At 37.7% G+C, this 18511-nt stretch overlaps 1 long non-coding RNA gene across 1 annotated transcript in view; it reads left to right on the forward strand.

Moving 5' to 3' along the window:
- Window positions 1–9905, forward strand: part of LINC02456 (long intergenic non-protein coding RNA 2456) — a 432422-nt gene extending 422517 nt beyond the window's left edge. The window contains exon 13 of the long non-coding RNA XR_007063427.1: window positions 5190–9905. This is a non-coding gene — a long non-coding RNA (long intergenic non-protein coding RNA 2456). The remainder of the gene's footprint in view (window positions 1–5189) is intronic.
- The last annotated feature ends 8606 nt before the right edge of the window (window positions 9906–18511 follow it).

The following is an 18511-nucleotide window of genomic DNA, read 5'->3' on the forward strand; positions in this document are numbered from 1 at the left end:
ACAAAAATTCAACCTTTATTTAATAGGGAAAATGTGTTTGGCAGGTAGAACCCAAGTCCTCGAAGGCTTTTTTTTTATGGTGTATATGTGTTTTATTTGTTTTTATTGCCACATGTATTAAACAGTCATCCTATCTCACCTTGGGTGATTGGAGCCCTCTTCAGTAGGTAGATTCCTCCAGCCATCTTGGACCATTTCTGTGACACAGACAATGTTTTCTTCTTCCCAAACTTTATTTTGAAGTAAGTTCAAGGAAATTCAAAACAGCAAGGTTGAGTGGAAAAAATAAGTCTTTTGTTCAGCATGTACAGTTTGAATTCTGTCAGGAGATATTGTACTTTCCTTTTATTACACTTTATTTTGGAGGTTTTTTTTTTGTTTTTTTTTTTTTTTTTAAGAGTCAGAGGAACCCTAAGTCAGGAGGCTGTCCATAGCTGAGTCTCATGGACAAATGGTCAGCTCAAACACATAACAAAGGGTCTGTTGTGATGTTGCCAATTCTATTTCATGAAATCTTTTTTTGGTATAAACTGGAGAAAGCACTTTGTTCAGTTAAAGATTTTTTTTCTTCCCTACCAGTTGTCCTTGCCAAGGTCAATGTTTCTATTATGTGGGGGGAAGCATACCCGCCCCCTGGTGGCTGATTTACACATAGACCTTTTTCTTTACCAAGACCCGTGGATCTCAGTAGCTAAAATGTCCTAGTGTGGTGTACATTCATTTAACAAATATTTATTGAGCTCCTGTTTTGTGCCAGGCAATGTACTAAGTGATTCGAGTTGGGAAACCCAAGGTCTTCCTCTGGGTCTTTTATATGGCAACCAACCATTCAACCTGTTCACAAGGCGGCCACCTCACCTCCGGTGCTTCATTTTCTCAACAATGAGCTATATTATATCTGCACTACTTATCCCAAAGCATAGTATCAAAGATCCAAAATGATAAAATAACAGCAAGTGTGATCGTATGTTGTAAATTAGATGAGGTCACTCCAGTGCTTAAAATAATTTAATGTCTTCCCATTGCCCTTAAAATAAAATCCAACCTCTTTTTATGGACTCAAAGACCCAGCACAATCTATCCACTGCCTCCTTGTCAACCTCATGCCACACCATTCTCCCCCTGGAGAATCTCACCCCTTAATACAGGTCAACTGTCATTTTCTTGAAAGTGCAATTTCCCCCTTAAGGCCCGTATATGTACTTTCTCCTCCCCTTTATAAGCGTCTTCCTACTCTTCACCTACCTAACTCTTATTTATCTTCTTTCTGAATGAAGGCCACCTTCTCAGGAATTTCTTTGCTAAGTACTAGTTCTAAAAATAGTTCACTTTATTATATTATTTCATAGAATCTTATTTTCCTTCATAGGTCTTATCCTGTATAGCAAGTATGTATTTATTTAAATTGCTATTTTTGACCATCTTCTCCACCGAAGTGAAAGTTCCATGAGGACATGTACCATAACTGTATAATTCACTACAGTCTATCTTGCACCTGTAAATAGCATCAATTGGACTTTGGGGAATGAATGAATAAATGACACCTGTGGAATGTTATAGAAATGTGAATTTATTATATATAAATAAGATAATATGAAATATAGAAAAAGTAGGAAAAGCAATTCAAGAAAGAGAATATTGGTGCATTTAATAAGTATTTTGAAATATGAACTTTTAAAGTTTAATTACTCAGTTATATAATCTATATGTTATGACTGCTTAATTAAATAGAATTTAGAATGTTATAACCTAAGCTAAGTTTGCAGGTGACAAAACTGGTGTCCAAAGACATGAAGTGAGACATATAAGGTTATACAGAAGCAGAAACAAGACTAGAATATATGTCTGTGATTCCTGACCTGGAGTTCTTTTGACTACATTGTGTTTATTCTTGTACAACATTATTGTTATGAAACTTCATTTCTTAAGGCTTTATAGACTTATTAAACTTTTGTATTCTATTAAGGTTAGACTAGAGCATCTATAAACAAATTGCTTAATAATTATTGAGCATCTTCCGTCCTGATGTCCTGGAACTAAAATATATATATATATATCTTAGCTCAACTGCCTTCTCCCTTCTCCTGCTTCTCCTTCTCCTTCTCTTCTCCTTCCCTTCTCCTTCCCTTCTCCTTTCCTTCTCCTTTCCTTCTCCTTTCTTCCTTCCTTCCTTCCTTCCTTCCTTCCTTCCTTCCTTCCTTCCTTCCTTCCTTCTTTCCTTCCTTCCTTCCTTCCTTCCTCCCTTCCCTCCCTACCTGTTCCCTTCTATTTTACTATTTCCTTACTGGGAGCATTTTGTCATCCTTTGTGCTTAAAGGGTACTTTCTATCTGGAAACTCATTTCCTCCATTCTGGGAAAGTTTCTTGAATTATTTCTTTTATAATTTTCCCTCCATTTCCTATTTTTATTTTTCTGTACTTCTGCTTTTCCTTCATTTCTGCTCCAATAACTGTAATTAACAATAGCCTTTTGATGATATTTGAGTATTTCTTTTTATAACAAACTGTTCTTATTTCAAAGCCACAGTATCCTGTCTTAAGTTTTTGAGGAAACGAATGGTACTATTTTTGAAATTATTTTTTCTTTGCATTTTTTTCATCTTTCTGTTTCTTTTCCCCCATTAGTATGTTTAAATTACTGTCTTTCTTGTTGAGGTTTTCCTGAAATGTCTGGTGATTCTTGGATGTCCATTCTTATTTGAGAGGACAGAGTTGCCAGACAAGATAGGGAACAGTCATTTGAATCTGAATTTCAGATAAACAATGAATACATTTTTAATATGTCCCAAAGACCGCATTTTTATTTGCTAAATCTGGCAACCCCAAGAGAGGGGCAAGAAGCAGCTGAAGAAACGTCTGTGTGCATGGATAGGACTTGTTGACTACTGGGTGTTACTAAGATGATCTGGCTGGGCTGTTTCACTAGAGGATCCCTGACCATTAGCATCTTTAGGTTTTCACTGAGCACTTAGAGCAGAATCATTCAGTCTTTAGGCTGTCAGTTTTCTGGGAGCCAAAGTAGACCAGGAGGTTGGGATTCTCACCATTCAGAATGTACCCCTTTAGTAATTCTCCTTGTTTTCCGTGGGGGTGCTCCTGCCCTGAGTAGTGCCTGCCATCCCTTGTCTAGATCTTTCTGAAACATGTTCTCCAGAGAGTAAGTCTTCAGTCTCCTGCCAGGAGGGTGAAGAAACTGCTTCTCAAACAATTAACAAATTCTGTATCTGCCTCACCTGCATCCCCACTTTCATATGTACTTCTTGCTTCCAATTTCTGAGCCTTTCCAGGGTTTTGCAATGCAAAGCAGGTTGCTTCTGGGTTTCACCCACTGTCAACTTAAATTTCAGCCTTCATGGTTCGGCTAAGCCAGTTACCCCTCTACCATCTGCTTTCCATCTTCCAAAATGTTGTTGTTGTTGTTTTCCTCCTAATTCTTTTTGTCTTTATGAGTGAATGTCTTTAAAATCAGTCCCTTTACTGTCTTTTTAGTGAGCTTGGGGGATGGAATGTAATGTATAGCATATGTTAAATCTGCCATCTTCAACTAGAAGCACAGCCATGAATTTTCAAAGTGACTACAGAAGAGCCATTTAATTCCTCTTTTCTCAATTTTCTTTTGTAAAATGAGATGGCTAAGGGAGATGGGCTTCGATAAACCCCACTCAAAAATTTTATGATTGTATAATCTCCTGCACTATTAACAGACCATCCGGTAACAACATTCTAAACCTTCCAAACAAATTACGTTTTTAGTCTTTTAAGGAAGAGACAAAGCCGTGGTCTACATTTTCATCAATATTAAGGACCTTCAGCAAGGACTTCTCTGAAGCTTGTTTTCTCTCCAAATGGGGAACTAATATGAACTTCCATTAATATAAACTTCCATCATAAGCCTGCTGTGATTAGCAGATGAGTTAACCCATGGGAAAGTACTTCACATATGGACATTTGCTATGCAAGTATTAATTGATGTAGTTGTTCTTTGGAGTATGCATCTTCTCAGCACAATAATTCTTGGTCTTTTTAAAGTCTTCTGACTGGGGAATCATAGCATTTACCTTAAATCATCTAGACTTACTTATTTATTTATTTTTTCTTTGAGACGGAGTCTCTCTCTGTCACTCAGGCTGGAGTGCAGTGGCGCGATCTCGGCTCACTGCAAGCTCCGCCTCCCGGGTTCACACCATTCTCCTGCCTCAGCCTCCCCAGTAGCTGGGACTACAGGCGCCTGCCACCACGCCTGGCTAATTTTTTGTATTTTTAGTAGAGACGGGGTTTCACCGTGTTAGCCAGGATGGTCTCGATCTCCTGACCTCGTGATCCGCCTGCCTCAGCCTCCCAAAGTGCTGGGATTACAGGCGTGAGCCACTGCGCCCAGCCAATCACCTAGACTTATTATAATTAGAGTTACTAGTCCCTTCAGGTTACCAGTGAATTTTTTTCTATAAAGCACCGAGGCTTCAAAGACATTAGCAATACTAGTAAAGGAATTACTCTTAATTGAAAAACACTAATGTATCAGATAATCTGCTAAATTCTTTATATACATTTCCTCTAATCTTTACAAACATCCTCCTAGGTAAGTCATATTTAACCCATTTTACAGATAAGGATATTGAGGCTCATAGAAGTTAAGTGATTTCGTCAAGTTCACTCACTCAGTAAATAGTAGAGTTGGGATTCAAACCAGGTCTTTCTGGCACCAAAACCCATGTATACTTTTTGCTTTTATGCCATAATGCTTTCTTAACTCTTTAGAAAACACTAATATCACTTAAAACATTGAAGGCAGAATGAGCTTGGTGTGATTAGCAATCCTTTGTTTCCTTTCCAGTATTCAATTCTGACATTCCCAAAAGAGATTCTGAGTTCTGTAAGCGTCTGTTGGTCACACTCTATCAAGCCCCCTTCTTTGCTCCTGCTGTTTTTCTTCTTTAAATACCATTTCTCCCTTTCTCTGTCCAGTGACTGTCTACCCATCCTGTGGGGCTCCATCAGGGTACAATTTCTTTTTTGTTTGTAAGACAGGGTCTTGCTCTGTTGTCCAGGCTAGAGTACAATGGCATGATTATGGTTTACTGCAGTCTCTACTTCTTGGGCTCTAGCAATCCTCCTACCTCAGTCTCCCTAGTAGCTGGTACTACAGGCATGCACCACCATGCACAGCTAACTTTTTTGTTTTTTTGTAGAAATGAAGTCTCACCATGTTGCCCAAGCTGGTCTCAAACTCTTGGCCTCCAGAAATCCTCCAACTTCAGCCTCCCAAGGTGCTGGGATTACAGGTAATAGCCACTGTGCCCAGTTAAGGTGCAACTTCTTTATGGAGCTTTTCTTTACTTCTCCAAGCAAAATTAGTTGCTCCCTTCTCTATGTTCTCTGTACATTTTAGTTTGTACCATATAAAATTGCCTCTATGTAACCATTTTTGACCTACAAATCTGGCAATTTTATATCATTTAGCCAAATATCTCCTTATCCCATTGTATTACATTTTGGGTTGGCATGTGTCTATCCTCTCTCCATTCCACCCCCCAGAATGTAAGTTCCATGACAGTTAACAGTAAGAGCTGACTTTCTGTGTGCTTCCTAGGAGGCCAGGACTGTTCTACACACTTGAAGTAAATTAACTCTTTTAATTCTTAGAGCAATGGTGTAATGATGATACTTTTCTATGCATAGTACCACTAGATAAGTGAGGAAGCTGAGGCACACAGAAGCTGTATTTGTCAAGGTTCTCCAGAAGGACAGAACTAGTCAGATATATGTCTATATTAAAGGGAGTTTATTAGGGAGAATTGGCTCACACAGTCAAAGGTGAAGTTCCACACAATAGCCACCTGCAAGCTGAGGAAGAAAGAAGCCAGTAGTGGCTCAGTTTGAGTTCAAAAGCCTCAAAAGCAGGAAAGCCTACAGTGCAACCTTCAGTCTGTGGCAAGGCCTGAGAGCCCCAGCAAACCACTGGTGTAAGTAGTCCAAGGGTCCAAAGGCCAAAAAACCTGGAGTCTGATGTCCAAGAGCAAGAGGAACAGATGGAAGCATCCAGCACAGGAGAAAGATGAAAGCCAGAAGACCCAGCAAGACAGCTTATCCCACCTCCTTCCACCTGCTTTATTCTAGCCACGCTGGCAGCTGATTGGGTGGTGCCCACTCACATTGAGGGTGGGTCCAGTCCACTGACTCACATGTCAATCTCCTCTGGCAACATTCTCACAGACGCACCCAGAAACAACACCTTACCGGCTATCTAGACATCCTGCAATCCAATCAAGCTGACACCCAGTATTAATCATCACAGAATCTAAGTAACTTGCCCAGCCTCACAAAACTTGACAGAGCTTGGATTTGAGCCTAGGTTATCTGTCTTTAAGGTCCAGAGACTTAACCATTTCTCTAAAATCCTTCTATTACTATTCTGTCTGGTTGTGTTTTGTTCACCACTGTATTCCCAGGGCTAGCACAAGGCTAGGGACCTACTAGGTGCTTAGTAAAGAGGTGAATTAAATGATTTTGTACCAGTCACATTTACTGAGCACCTACTCTGTGCTCCCAGATGTTGTGGTGGTAGGCACCAAGAAAAATAAGGCCCAGTCCCCACCTTTATGGAGATGGTGGCCAAGCAGGGGCCCCTGGAAACAGTGTAGCATTTACATTGAGGAGGCTGAACGTCAGAGGTGAGGAGAACTATGGATGGCCTGTTGTGTACCTGGAGGTAGAACAGGTGATGGAGAAGTCCTGAGAAAGAGAAGGGTAGAATTATCCATGTGAAGGAGGGTCCAGGTTCAATGCAGATGTGTTCTAGACAGATGGAGCAGCTTATGCAAAGGCCCTGAGTTGGGGCAGGGTAGGGGGAGAATGGCAAAGCAGGGGTGGGAGTTCAGAGAATGTAGAACTGGGGCCGCTGGGCCCTAGGGCCTAGATTACAACTTCAGCTGTATCATTTATCTCCTTAGTGACTTTGGGTAGATTTCTTACCTCCTTATGCCTCAGTTTCCTCTTCTGTAAAATGGATATAATAACAGTACCTGTCTGGTGAGATTCAAAGGAAGCATTGCCTTACTTATACTCAAAGTATACAGAATAGTGTCTGGTTCATAGAAAATGCTCTAACATAATTCTTAAGGAATTAAATTTCCTGAGTGTGTAGAAGTTCATGAAAGAAAATATTTGCTTCAGGAGAGTTAGAAATTTGCGATTAGGGCTTCTGTATTAGTCCGTTCTTGCACTGCTATAAAGAAATACCTGGGACTGGGTAATTTATAAGAAAAGAGGTTTAATTGGCTCACAGTTCTGCAGGCTGTACAGGAAACATAGTGGCTTCTCTTTCTCGGGAGGCCTCAGGAAGCTTACAATCATGGCGGAAGGCAAAGGGGAGCAAGGCATCTCACATGTCAGGAGCAGGAGCAAAAGAGAGGGAGCGGGGTGGTGCTGCACACTTTTCAACAACCAGATCTTATGAAAACTCACTCATTGTCACATGGACAGTACCAAGAAGATGCTGCTAAACTATTTATGAAAAATCTGCCCCCATGATCTAATCACCTCCCACCAGCCCCCACCTCCAACATTAGGGATTGCAATTTGGTGGGGACAAAGATCCAAACCATATCAGCTTCAAACTGCGTTCTCATAATTATAAAGTAATTGGAATAATAGCCACCATGTATTGTGTGCTTAATAGGTATTCCATGGCATGCTAACCTCAAAACAACCTTGGGAAGAAGGTACTACTGTCTCCATTTTATACATGAGTATGTGAGGCACAGGGAGGTTAAATCATAGTCTCACAATTAGCAAATACATAGAAGACAGGTTTTAATTCAGACATTGGCCTTCTGAGTCCTTGTGCTGAGCTACTTTGCCACAATGATTTTCTGGTTTGCAATTTTAAAATGAGAGTCAAGTTGGATGCAGTGGCTCATGCCTGTAATCCCCAGTGGTTTGGGAGGCCAATGCGGGAGGATTACCTTGAGGCCAGGAGTTTGAAACCAGCCTGAGCAACAGCAAGATCCTGCCTTACAAAAAATTTTAAAAATTAGCTGGGTGTGTTGATGGTCACTGCCATGGTGATGATTACTCGGGCCCAGGAGTTCAAGGCTGCAATGAGCTATATAGTGCCACTGCACTCCAGCCTGGGAAACAGAGCAAGACCCTGTCTCTAAAATAAATAAATATATAAATAAACAAACAAACAAAATCAGAGTGAGATGGTAGGGCCCTAAATCAGTCTTGGTTTAATGGAACTATTTGAAAAGTAACGAACAAAAAAAGTATAAAGGAATGAATAAATGTTCCTATGACATATGCTTGTTGGTTTCCATCACTTTGGGCTTCTTTCAATTGATTGATAATAACTCCATTCCCTTGAGAAAAATCAGTAAGAGTTTACATACAGCTACAGGTCACTCTTTTGGGCCAAATGTTTAAGAAATAATCAGTGGAGTTTTCTTCCTTCTTTGTTTTTCATCTTCTCTTAAAATTTTAAACTAAGCAAAAGATTTCATCTAAGTTTTCAGTCTGATGTCTTCAAAATAAAACATTTTAAGAGGAAAAAACCCGTAAACATGTCACTGGTAGAATTATGCATAATTTTAGAAAGGAAGCAGTAGGGTGCAGTGTTAGAACTAAAGATTTTAGAAGACCAGAATGTTAAGCCTGTATGAGACTTTAAAGATCATCTGGTAATGAAAGAGTTAAGGTAAAGGACCTGCTCTTGAAACTTGTGATCTTGGGTAAGTTATTTAACTTATCTGAACACCAGATTCCTGTCTCTTAAGTGGGGATAATAATAATACTTGCCATGAAGGTTATAACATGAAGAGTAAATGCGTTCATTCATGAAAACCGCTTCCTACGATGCCTGGCAGTCAGTGTGCAAAGTTACTTTCCCAAGGTCATCCATGTAGTTAATGTCAGAAAACAGAATTTTTCACTCCTAATCCTGTTTTCCAGGCAAGTATGTTTTTTTTAACAGCAGATTATTATGAACATTCTCAACATAATTGATACTTGAGTCTCATTGTGTGTGTTTGCTTCTAGTAACTATATCGATTCACGTTTGTTTTCTATTCTTTTTCCCTTCTGATATTATGATATTAATTCTTCATGTAGACAGCCTTTTCATAAATTTCTGAGCAATAATATTAGTCCTAGGTTAAAGCCAGACAGCTGAATTTATGGTATGTATCCCTTAAAAATTATTGTTATCTCAAACAACTTTACAGGAAAAAAAGCATCAATTGATGTTAAACCTCAAATATGCGTTTGTTTTTAGCTGAAAATTCCAAGCAGAATTACCCAAGTATTGAAAATCTTCAGAAAGAGCTGTAAGTTGATGGATATCTCAATTACCCTGATTTGATCTTTACTCATTATATAAATGTATCAAATTATCATGTTTCCCCCCACATATGTATACATATTATGTGTGAATAAAAAAATTAAAAAAGAAAAAAGAAATAGCATTAGTTAGTATTAGACAGTGTCAATAAGGCAAGAAATTTAAAAATGATCTAATTACAAGACTTAACATCTAGAAACCTTTTGTTTTTTGAAATTAAACCAAGATATAAAGACACAGAATCAAGTTATCCAGAATGTGCAGAGTCAGAAATGGAGGACATCTTGTCTCTAGTTCATTTTATATTTTTAGGCAGTGGTTAATCAGTGAAATTTTGTCATGGGTTGGGGAGATCTCACCATTTCTCTTATCATTTTCTTCTAGCCATGCTTCACTCTGGGGTTTAGGGGAGATTCATAGTGGAGGGAATAAGGACTAGGACCTAACTGTATTCTGAGAAAAAGTATGTAATTTGAAGAGGTCATCAGGAAATCATTTCCCAAGCAGGGCACTTGTCTTTGAAATCCTTTCTCACTCCAGATCTAACAAAGCCCTAGTTCATTGTACCTCAAAGGATGATCTTAAGCAGCTGGTTTGGGCTGGCCAGCTTTGATGGCTGGAGCATTTGAACTGCAGAGGTTGGGGGTGTCGGGGGTAGGGGGTGGTTAAAATGGTTTATTTCCGTTTAATTGTTTGTATTATCTGTCCAGGATTCCTCTTAAGGAAGAATGGGCTTCATCCTGTGGGAAATGAACATCTCTCTGTGAATATTATGGGGGCTTAGACAAAATAAAATCACTTTTAAGAGCCCAATTTGATGTTCTGGTAAATTAGTTCATTTAATCACTTGGTGCTTCTGTGATGGATTTAGTGTGGGCAAGGGGTATCCGCACTTTCACATCCCTGTCCCTTTAAATTCCTACAATCTGGAAGGCCCCTTCACACTTTCAGTTTGCTGAATCCTGCTCTTTCTTCAAAGATTCCCCAATAACCTTCCCAAATCATTTACCTTCAAAATTAAAAGGACAAGATTTTACATTCCTCTGGTGTCCTGGGAGAGGGGCAGAGGAATTAGTATTCTCTGGACTTGGCTTCATCTTGGAGAAGAGAGTTGAAAGTAAATCATGGGATGGAATTTGATAATTTTAGCTTTGTCTTCAAGAAGAAGGATTAATTTTCTTCCCTAATATATTCCTTCTTGTCTGGGCTGAAGCATTGCTGAATTTGATCTCACTAGATTCCTCTATTAGAATATAAGTTCCATGTGGATGAGGATTTGTCTAGTTACAACTATATCCTGAGTGCCTAAGACAGTATCCAGCATATGGTGGGTTCTCATTCATTTAAATAAATAAATGAATGACCCAATGTGTCAGTCAAGGTAACCTGGGTTGTGCTGCAGTAAACACAACCTCTAAATCTGAGTGGTCTATCTCTTATGCACTGAGGTCAGTTGGGAGCTCTCCTCCATACTTCCTCCCATTGGAACCCAGGCCGACAAAGAAGCTGCCATCTTGAATTTTGCTTATCACTGGATAGAGGAAAAGTGAGCTGTAGGTTTTGAACCAGCAATAGAATGTTCTGGCCTGGAAGTCATATGTGATCCTTTAACTTACAATTCACTGGACAGAGCTAGTCACATGTTCCCTGCCAAACCATGTGGAAGTATGTTTGCAATCTGACTACATTCCAAAACTATTAATAGCAATAATGACTACTACATTTAAGGAAGGCTTTAACTTAATTTTTTATGGGAACTTGACCATTATTAGAATTTTGGTGAGGCCATGAGGCAGCTCCATTTCCCAGAATGACTTTTAGAATCATAAGCTAATCACTTTGAATCACGTGTCTTAGTTTTGGGCTGCTATTAACAAATTACAAAATAGACTGGTGGCTTAAACAATAGAAATTTATGTCTCACAGTTCTGGATGCTGGAAAGTTCAAGATTGTGGTGCCAGCATTGGTAGGTTCTGATGAGATTCCTCTTCCTGGTTTGCTGGTGGCTGTCTTCTTGCTCTGTCTTCACATGGCCAGAAAGCAGAGAGAGGAAGCAAGCTGTCTTGTGTCTTTTCTTAGAAGCGCAATAATCACATCGGGAGGGCACCATCCTCATGACCTTCTCCTAAAGACCCTACCTCCTAATACCATTCCACTGGGGGTTAGGGTTTCAACATGAATTTCGGGAGGAACACAAACATGAAGTCCGTAATACCATGCGTTCTTACAAAAGCAGTATCACCCCAAGAGGGTGAAAATTGGTTCTTGGAGGATGAGAAAATTCAGATCTTATGATGGTTTGTGGACCTCCAAAGGGCCACACTACATAAACAGACATATAATATATATGTGGTATTTACATATCATGGTGGGGACAATTAGGAAAAAATGTGCGGAGGTTGCAGTGAGCCAAGATCGCACCACTGCACTCCAGCCTGGGCGACAGAGCGAGATTCCATCTTGGTAAATAAATAAATAAATAAATAAGTCTTTTTAGGGAACAATAATGAAAAAAGAATGAGGAAAACTGCTTTAAACCAATGAGAAGTTAGCTTATATCTAAACTTCTTGTTGCTGGTGGTGTTTGACAGGAGTGGTGACTCCCTGGGGCTTGTGAATTATTTCCGCTGGTGTGAAGAGGTGATGCCTCCACTTCAGGCCACTTTCATGAAGTGATTGCTGCCTTCTCTGCATCTGCTATTCTCTAAAACATCCTGATACCAGCAGGTTGAGGAGGCCTATAAGCAGAATATTACTGATATCACTAGCGGTAATACTTTCAAGGCAAGGAAAAAGTTCTCTCCCACAGCCTACCATTTAGGATAACGAGTCCCAACAGATGGGTTCTATGCTAAATAATGGACTGACTAGTATTTTTGTTCTGATATTTTGATCATTTGAGTTTGGAAATTTCACTCTCAGACTCAGGTTGGCTTATTAAATATTTGTTGACTTCCAGAGAAATCCCTTATTTTTAAGAAAAGATAAAATAAGCAAAAGATCGTTTTCTTATGTTTTTAGTAAACTTGAGTTAGAATTGTTGCTCCCTGTATCTGAATTGCAGATTGAGCACTTATTAACTAAGAGACTTTCTTTGAGTTATTTAATTCCTTTGTGCCTTGGTTTCCTCATACGCTAAACAGGGATAATAATAATTCCTACTTCATAAGGTTGTTGTAAGGATTAAATAAGGTATATAAGCATTTTTAAGCTTTTATAAATTGGCAAATAAGAATTGTAAGTATTCATCGTGAATAACATGATGTCTTGAAATATGTATGGATTGTGGTTTGGCTCAAGTGACCCTAATTAACATACATTTTACCTCACTTTTTGTGGTAAAAACACTTAAAATCTGCCCTCTGAGCAGTTTTCAAAATACAATACATTGTTATGAGCTTTAGTCACCATGTTGTACAGTAAATCTCTTGAACTTATTCCTTCTATATAACTGAAATTTTGCATCCTTTGACCAATATGTCCCCAATGCCCCCACCCCAGTGCCTCTGGTAACAACCATTCTATTCTCTACTTTCCTGAGTTCAACTTTTTTGAATTCTACATTTAAGTGAGATCATGTGGTATTTTTCTTTCTGTGCCTGGTTAACTTCACTTAACATAATGTCCTCCAGGTTCATCCATGTTGTCATAAAAAGATTTACTTCTTTTTTAAGGTTGAATAGAATTCCATTATATATATATACCATATATTTTTAATCCATTCATCCATTGATGAACTCTTAGGTTGATTCTATGTCTTGGCTATTGTGAATAATGCTGCAGTGACCATGGGAATGCTTTTACATACTATTTCATTTCCTTTAGATATATACCCAGAAGTGAAATTGCTGGATCATATAGTAGTTCTATTTTTAATTTTTTGAGAAACCTCCATACTATTATCCATAATGGCTGTACTAATTGACATTTCTACCAAGAGTATCTAAGGGTTCCCTTTTCTCTACATCCTGGTCAACATTTGTTTTCATTTGTCTTTTTTATAGTAGTCATTCTAACAGGTGTGAAACATCTCATTGTGGTTTTAATTTGCAATTAACTGATAATTAGTGAGGTTGAACATTCTTATGTATGCCTGTTTGCCATTTGTACATACTCTTTTGAGAAAGAATGCCCTTTGCTCAATTTTGAATCAGGTTATTTATTTTCTTGCTATTGAATTGTTTGAGTTCCTTATATATTTGGGTTATTAATCCCTTATAGCAGCAGTCCCCATATTTTTGGCCTACTCATTTCGTGGAAGACAGTTTTTCCATGAACTGGGGTACAGGAGCATGGTTTTGGGATGAAACTGTTTTACCTCAGATCATCAGACATTAGATTCTCATAAGGAATGCACAACCTAGATCCCTTGCTTGTGCAGTTCACAATAGGATTTGCACTCTTATGAGAATCTAATGCCACTGCTGATCTGACAGGAGGTAGGGCTCACCCACTGTTCACCTCCTGCTGTGCAGCCTGGTTCCTTACAGGACACAGACCCATACCAGTCTCCAGGGCTTGGGGACCCCTGCCTTATAAGATGTATGACTTGCAAATATTTTATCCCATTCCATAAATTGCCTTTGCATTCTGTTGATTGCTTATTTTAGTATGCAGAAATTTTTAGTTTGATACATTCTTATTAGTCTATTTTTGCTTTTGTTGCCTGTGCTTTTGGGGTTGTATCCAAAAAATCATTGTCCAAACTAATGTCATAAAGCTTTCCCACTATGTTTTCTTCTGGTAGTTTAATAGTTTCTGGTCTATGTTTTAATCTTTAAAACATTTTGGGTTGATTTGTGTATATGATATGAAATAAGGGCCTAATTTTATTCTTCTGTATGTGAATATCCTTTATTCCCAACATTATTTATTGAAGAAGCTGTCTTTTTCCCTTTGTGTTTTCTTGGCACTTTTGTCAAAAACCAATTGACTATAAATGCATGAGTTTATTTCTGGCCTTTATTCTGCTCCATTGGTCCATGTATCTGCTTTTATACCAGTACCATGCTCTTTTGCTTGCTATAGCTTTGTAGTATATTTTGAAGTCAGGTACTGTGATGCCTCCAGCTTTATTCTTGTTTATCAAGGTTGCCGTGTTTATTTGGGATCTTTTGTGGTTCCAGACAAATTTTAGAAATGTTTTTCTATTTCTATGAAAACATCATTGGAATTTTGGTTGCATTGAATGTATTCAACTTTTCACCATTGAATATGATGTTAGCTACAAGTTTGTTGTATTGCCTTTATTGTACTTCTATACCTAATTTGGTAAGAATTTTTATCATGAAAGATGTTGAATTTTGTCAAATGCTTTTCCTGTATCTATTGAGATTATCATATGTTTTTGTCCTTTATTCTATTAATGTGGTGTATATCACATTTATAGGTCTGTGTATGTTGAATCATCCTTGCACCCCTCGGAAAAATTCAACTTGATTATGGTGAATGGTCCTTTTAATATGCTGTGGATTTCAGTTTACTATTATCTATATTCATCAGGGACATAGGCCTGTATTTTTTTTTTTCTTGTAGTGTCCTCATCTGGTTTTAGTATCAGGGTAATGTTGGCCTTGTAAAATGAGGTTGGACATATTCCCTCTTCAAATTTTTGGAAGAATTTTGAGGTGGATTGGTATTCATTCTTCTCTAAAAGTTTTGTGGAATGCAACAGTGAAGCCATCAAGTACTAGGCTTTTCTTTGATGGAAAACTTATTACTGATTCAGTCTTCTTACTCATTATTGATCTGTTCAGATTTTCTTCTATTTCTTCATTATTAATTTTTGGTAGGTTGTGTATATCCAGGAATTTATTCATTTTTCTCTAGGTTATTCAATTTGTCAATGTATAATTATTCATGATAGTCTCATGATCCTTTGCATTTCTGTGATATCCATTGTAATGTCTCCTTTTTGATTTCTGATTTTATTTGAGTTCTCTCATTTTTGTTAATCTAGCTAAAGTTTTACCAATTTTGTTTATCTTTCAGAAAACCAACTCTTAGTCTTGTTGATCTTTTCTATTGCTTTTCTAGTCTCTATTATTTATTTCTACTCTGATCTTATTATTTCCTTCTTTCTACTTACTTTAGGCTTAGTTTGTTCTTCTTTTTCTAGTTTCTTGAGGTATACCATTAGGTTTTTTGGGGGGACTTTCTTTTGTGTTGATGTGGGGATTTATTGCTATAAACTTTGCTCTTAGAACTGCTTATGTTGCATCCCGTAAGTTTTGGTATGTTGTGTTTCCATTTTCATTTGTCTCAGGATATTTTTCAAATTTCCCTTTTAATTTATTCTTCAACTCATGGGTTGTTCAGGAGCATGCTGTTTAATATCCATATATTTGTAGATTTTCTGAAGTTCCTCCTGTTCTTGATTTCTAGTTTCATACCATTATGGTCGTAAAAGGTACTCAATATAATTTCAATCATCTTAAATTTGTTAAGACTTGTTTTGTGGACTAATATATGATCTATCCTGGAGAATGTTTCATGTGCATTTGAGAAGAGTGTGTATTCTGTCTCTGTTAAATGGAATGTCATGTATCTGACTGTAAGGTTTATTTGGTCTGAAATATAGTTCAAGTCCAATATTTCATTATTAATATTTTGTCCGGATGATCTGCCAATTGCTGAAAGTGAGGTATTGAAGTCTTCTACTATTATTGTATTACAATCTGCTCTCCTTTCATGTCTATTAATATTTGCTTTATATGTTTAGGTGCTCCTATGTTGGGTACATATGTATTTACAATTATTATATCCTCTTGATAAATTAGCCCCTTGATATAGTCCAAAACTGATCTCCAATGTTAGCGACGGGGCCCAGTGAGATGTTTGGGACATGGAGGTGGATACCTTATGAATGGTTTGGTGCTGTCCTTGTAGTAATAAGTGAGTTCTTGCTCTATTAGTTCATATAGGAGCTTGTTGTTAAAAAGAGCATGGCACCTCCCCCTTCTCTCTTGCTCCCTCCCTTGCTATGTGACACACTTGCTCCCTTCTGCCTTCTGCCATGATTAAAATTTCTTGAGGCCCTCAACAGAAGCCTTCTTTGCTGGTGCCATGCTTCTTGGGCAGCCTGTAGAGCCAAATAAACCTCTTTTCTTTATAATTTACCCAATCTCAGTTATTCTTTTTTAGCAATGCAAAACAGACTAATACACCCCTTTATCACTATATAATGACCTTCTTTGTTTCTTATTGTAGTTTAAATTTCTCATATAATGATTATTATCTAAGTGTTTTTAATAGTACCTGGAGTATAGTAAGTCCCACACAAATATTAGTTACTGATAGCTATTGTTGCATTATCCATATTTTAATCATTATTCTTCATACATGGTCCTTAGTCTTTTTTCTTGTTATAAAATGAAGGATACAAGATTGTTTTTCTTATGCCATCTTTGGACATTCATCCACCTAGGCTTTGACCATATTAGTATTCATGGCAGACACCGTAGGGTTCCTGGACACATCCTCAGTCACAATTTGCTTTTCCCTGGAAGCTTTCAGAGGTTGGATTAGGAATGCACGTGTGACTCAATAATCTCTAACTCGAAGTTGCTGGATGGGACTTCAGGGAAAATTTTATTCAAAAAACTCGACTCAGAAAGTATGATTCTTTGACACTTAGTTCTTTCTGCCTTTTTCTTCTTACCACCTGGAATGCAAATGGATTGAATTGCTATTGGTGTGACAGCCATCTTGTGACTGTGATGAAACAACAGTGATACCATCACTTTAAATACAATGAAGCAGATGATAGAAAGAGGTTAAATCCCTGGCAGAATTTTTAGACAATCACATCACTCTCGACAAATTTCCTCTTGGCTTTTTGATATGTGAAAGAAGAAAATGTTTATGTATTGAAGCCATAGTTTTCCGTTGCTTTCAGCAGAAAGCATTATTAGTTAATGTACTGTTTTTACCTATATGGAAATGTGTAAAATGTGAATGCTTTAAAAAATAAATGTAAAATGCACACACGCACGCGCGCGCGCGCACACACACACACACACACACACACACACACTACTGGTAAGAGGTATATTTCCAGGACATACTAGGAGTGAAAAAAAAGTTTTTAAGTTTCTTTCTTCCTGAATTATAAACATAAGGGTTATTTCACATGATAATGGGCAAATAACCATTTGTTCTTGAAATATCAAGAAAAGGGCTTCCTGCTTGATCATCTCTGCTTAATTAAAGTTTTTTGGTGAAATTAAGTACTACTTAAACTTCACAGTAATTATATTTTTACATTGTTATTTAAAAGAACAGATGTTCATAGCTAGCATTTATTTACATTTATGTGCTTGACATCATGGTAAACATGCACTCTCTCTCTGTCTATATATATACATGCATACCCTCAGTTAATCGATTAGTCTTATATCAGCCTTAAGAGACAGGTACTGGGTTTTTTTCAGTATATATAAGAATATTCAAGGCTTAAAAAGATAATTTACCTAATGTTAAATGAAGATTATTGATGGAAAACAACAGAAATTAACTTGGCTGATTTAATCAAAAAAAGAAATGTATTTAGAGAATATTACTAATATGCAAAATTGTTGTGGGGGCAGGAGTACCAAGATCATGAGCTATTTAGCCAGAATCAAGGTCCATTAATGACACTAACACCCAGGCCACTGATACCGGATTTAGGACATTTCCACTGGCACCACTGGACTGCAACCATAGGAACTTGATCTTGCTTGACCTATAGTAGATTCTACAGGGTCCCTATTTCTTAGTGTCAGTAGCTCCTAATTTAGAAATTTACCTGGCTTCATTTATTTGGTAGATTCTAGACCTCATGCTTAAAGTTCAGCTGTAAAGGAGGTTGGAGAAATGATATTTGCTTTCCAAAGTGGGAGGTGAGCCATACCTCCTATGAAGACTCATACAAGGAAGGGTATTTTCCAAACATTGGAAGGAATTTCAAATATTAGCCAGCCAAAAAGAACGATTCTGCACAACTAAGTCAAAATTCAAACCCAGATTTCTCTAACAGCAAAATCCAAACTTTCAACCACCATCCTGAAAGGCTCATAATTTGTAGTAAGAAATCCGGCTTCCAAATTTTTAAGACAATAGAGCTCCCAACTGATTCCAGGGGGATAAAAACACTATTATATGTATTTCTAATTCATTCTCCGCCCTCCTTC

Source organism: Homo sapiens, chromosome 12 (genome assembly GCF_000001405.40).
Source record: "Homo sapiens chromosome 12, GRCh38.p14 Primary Assembly".
In the NCBI taxonomy this organism is placed as follows: Eukaryota; Metazoa; Chordata; class Mammalia; order Primates; family Hominidae; genus Homo; species Homo sapiens.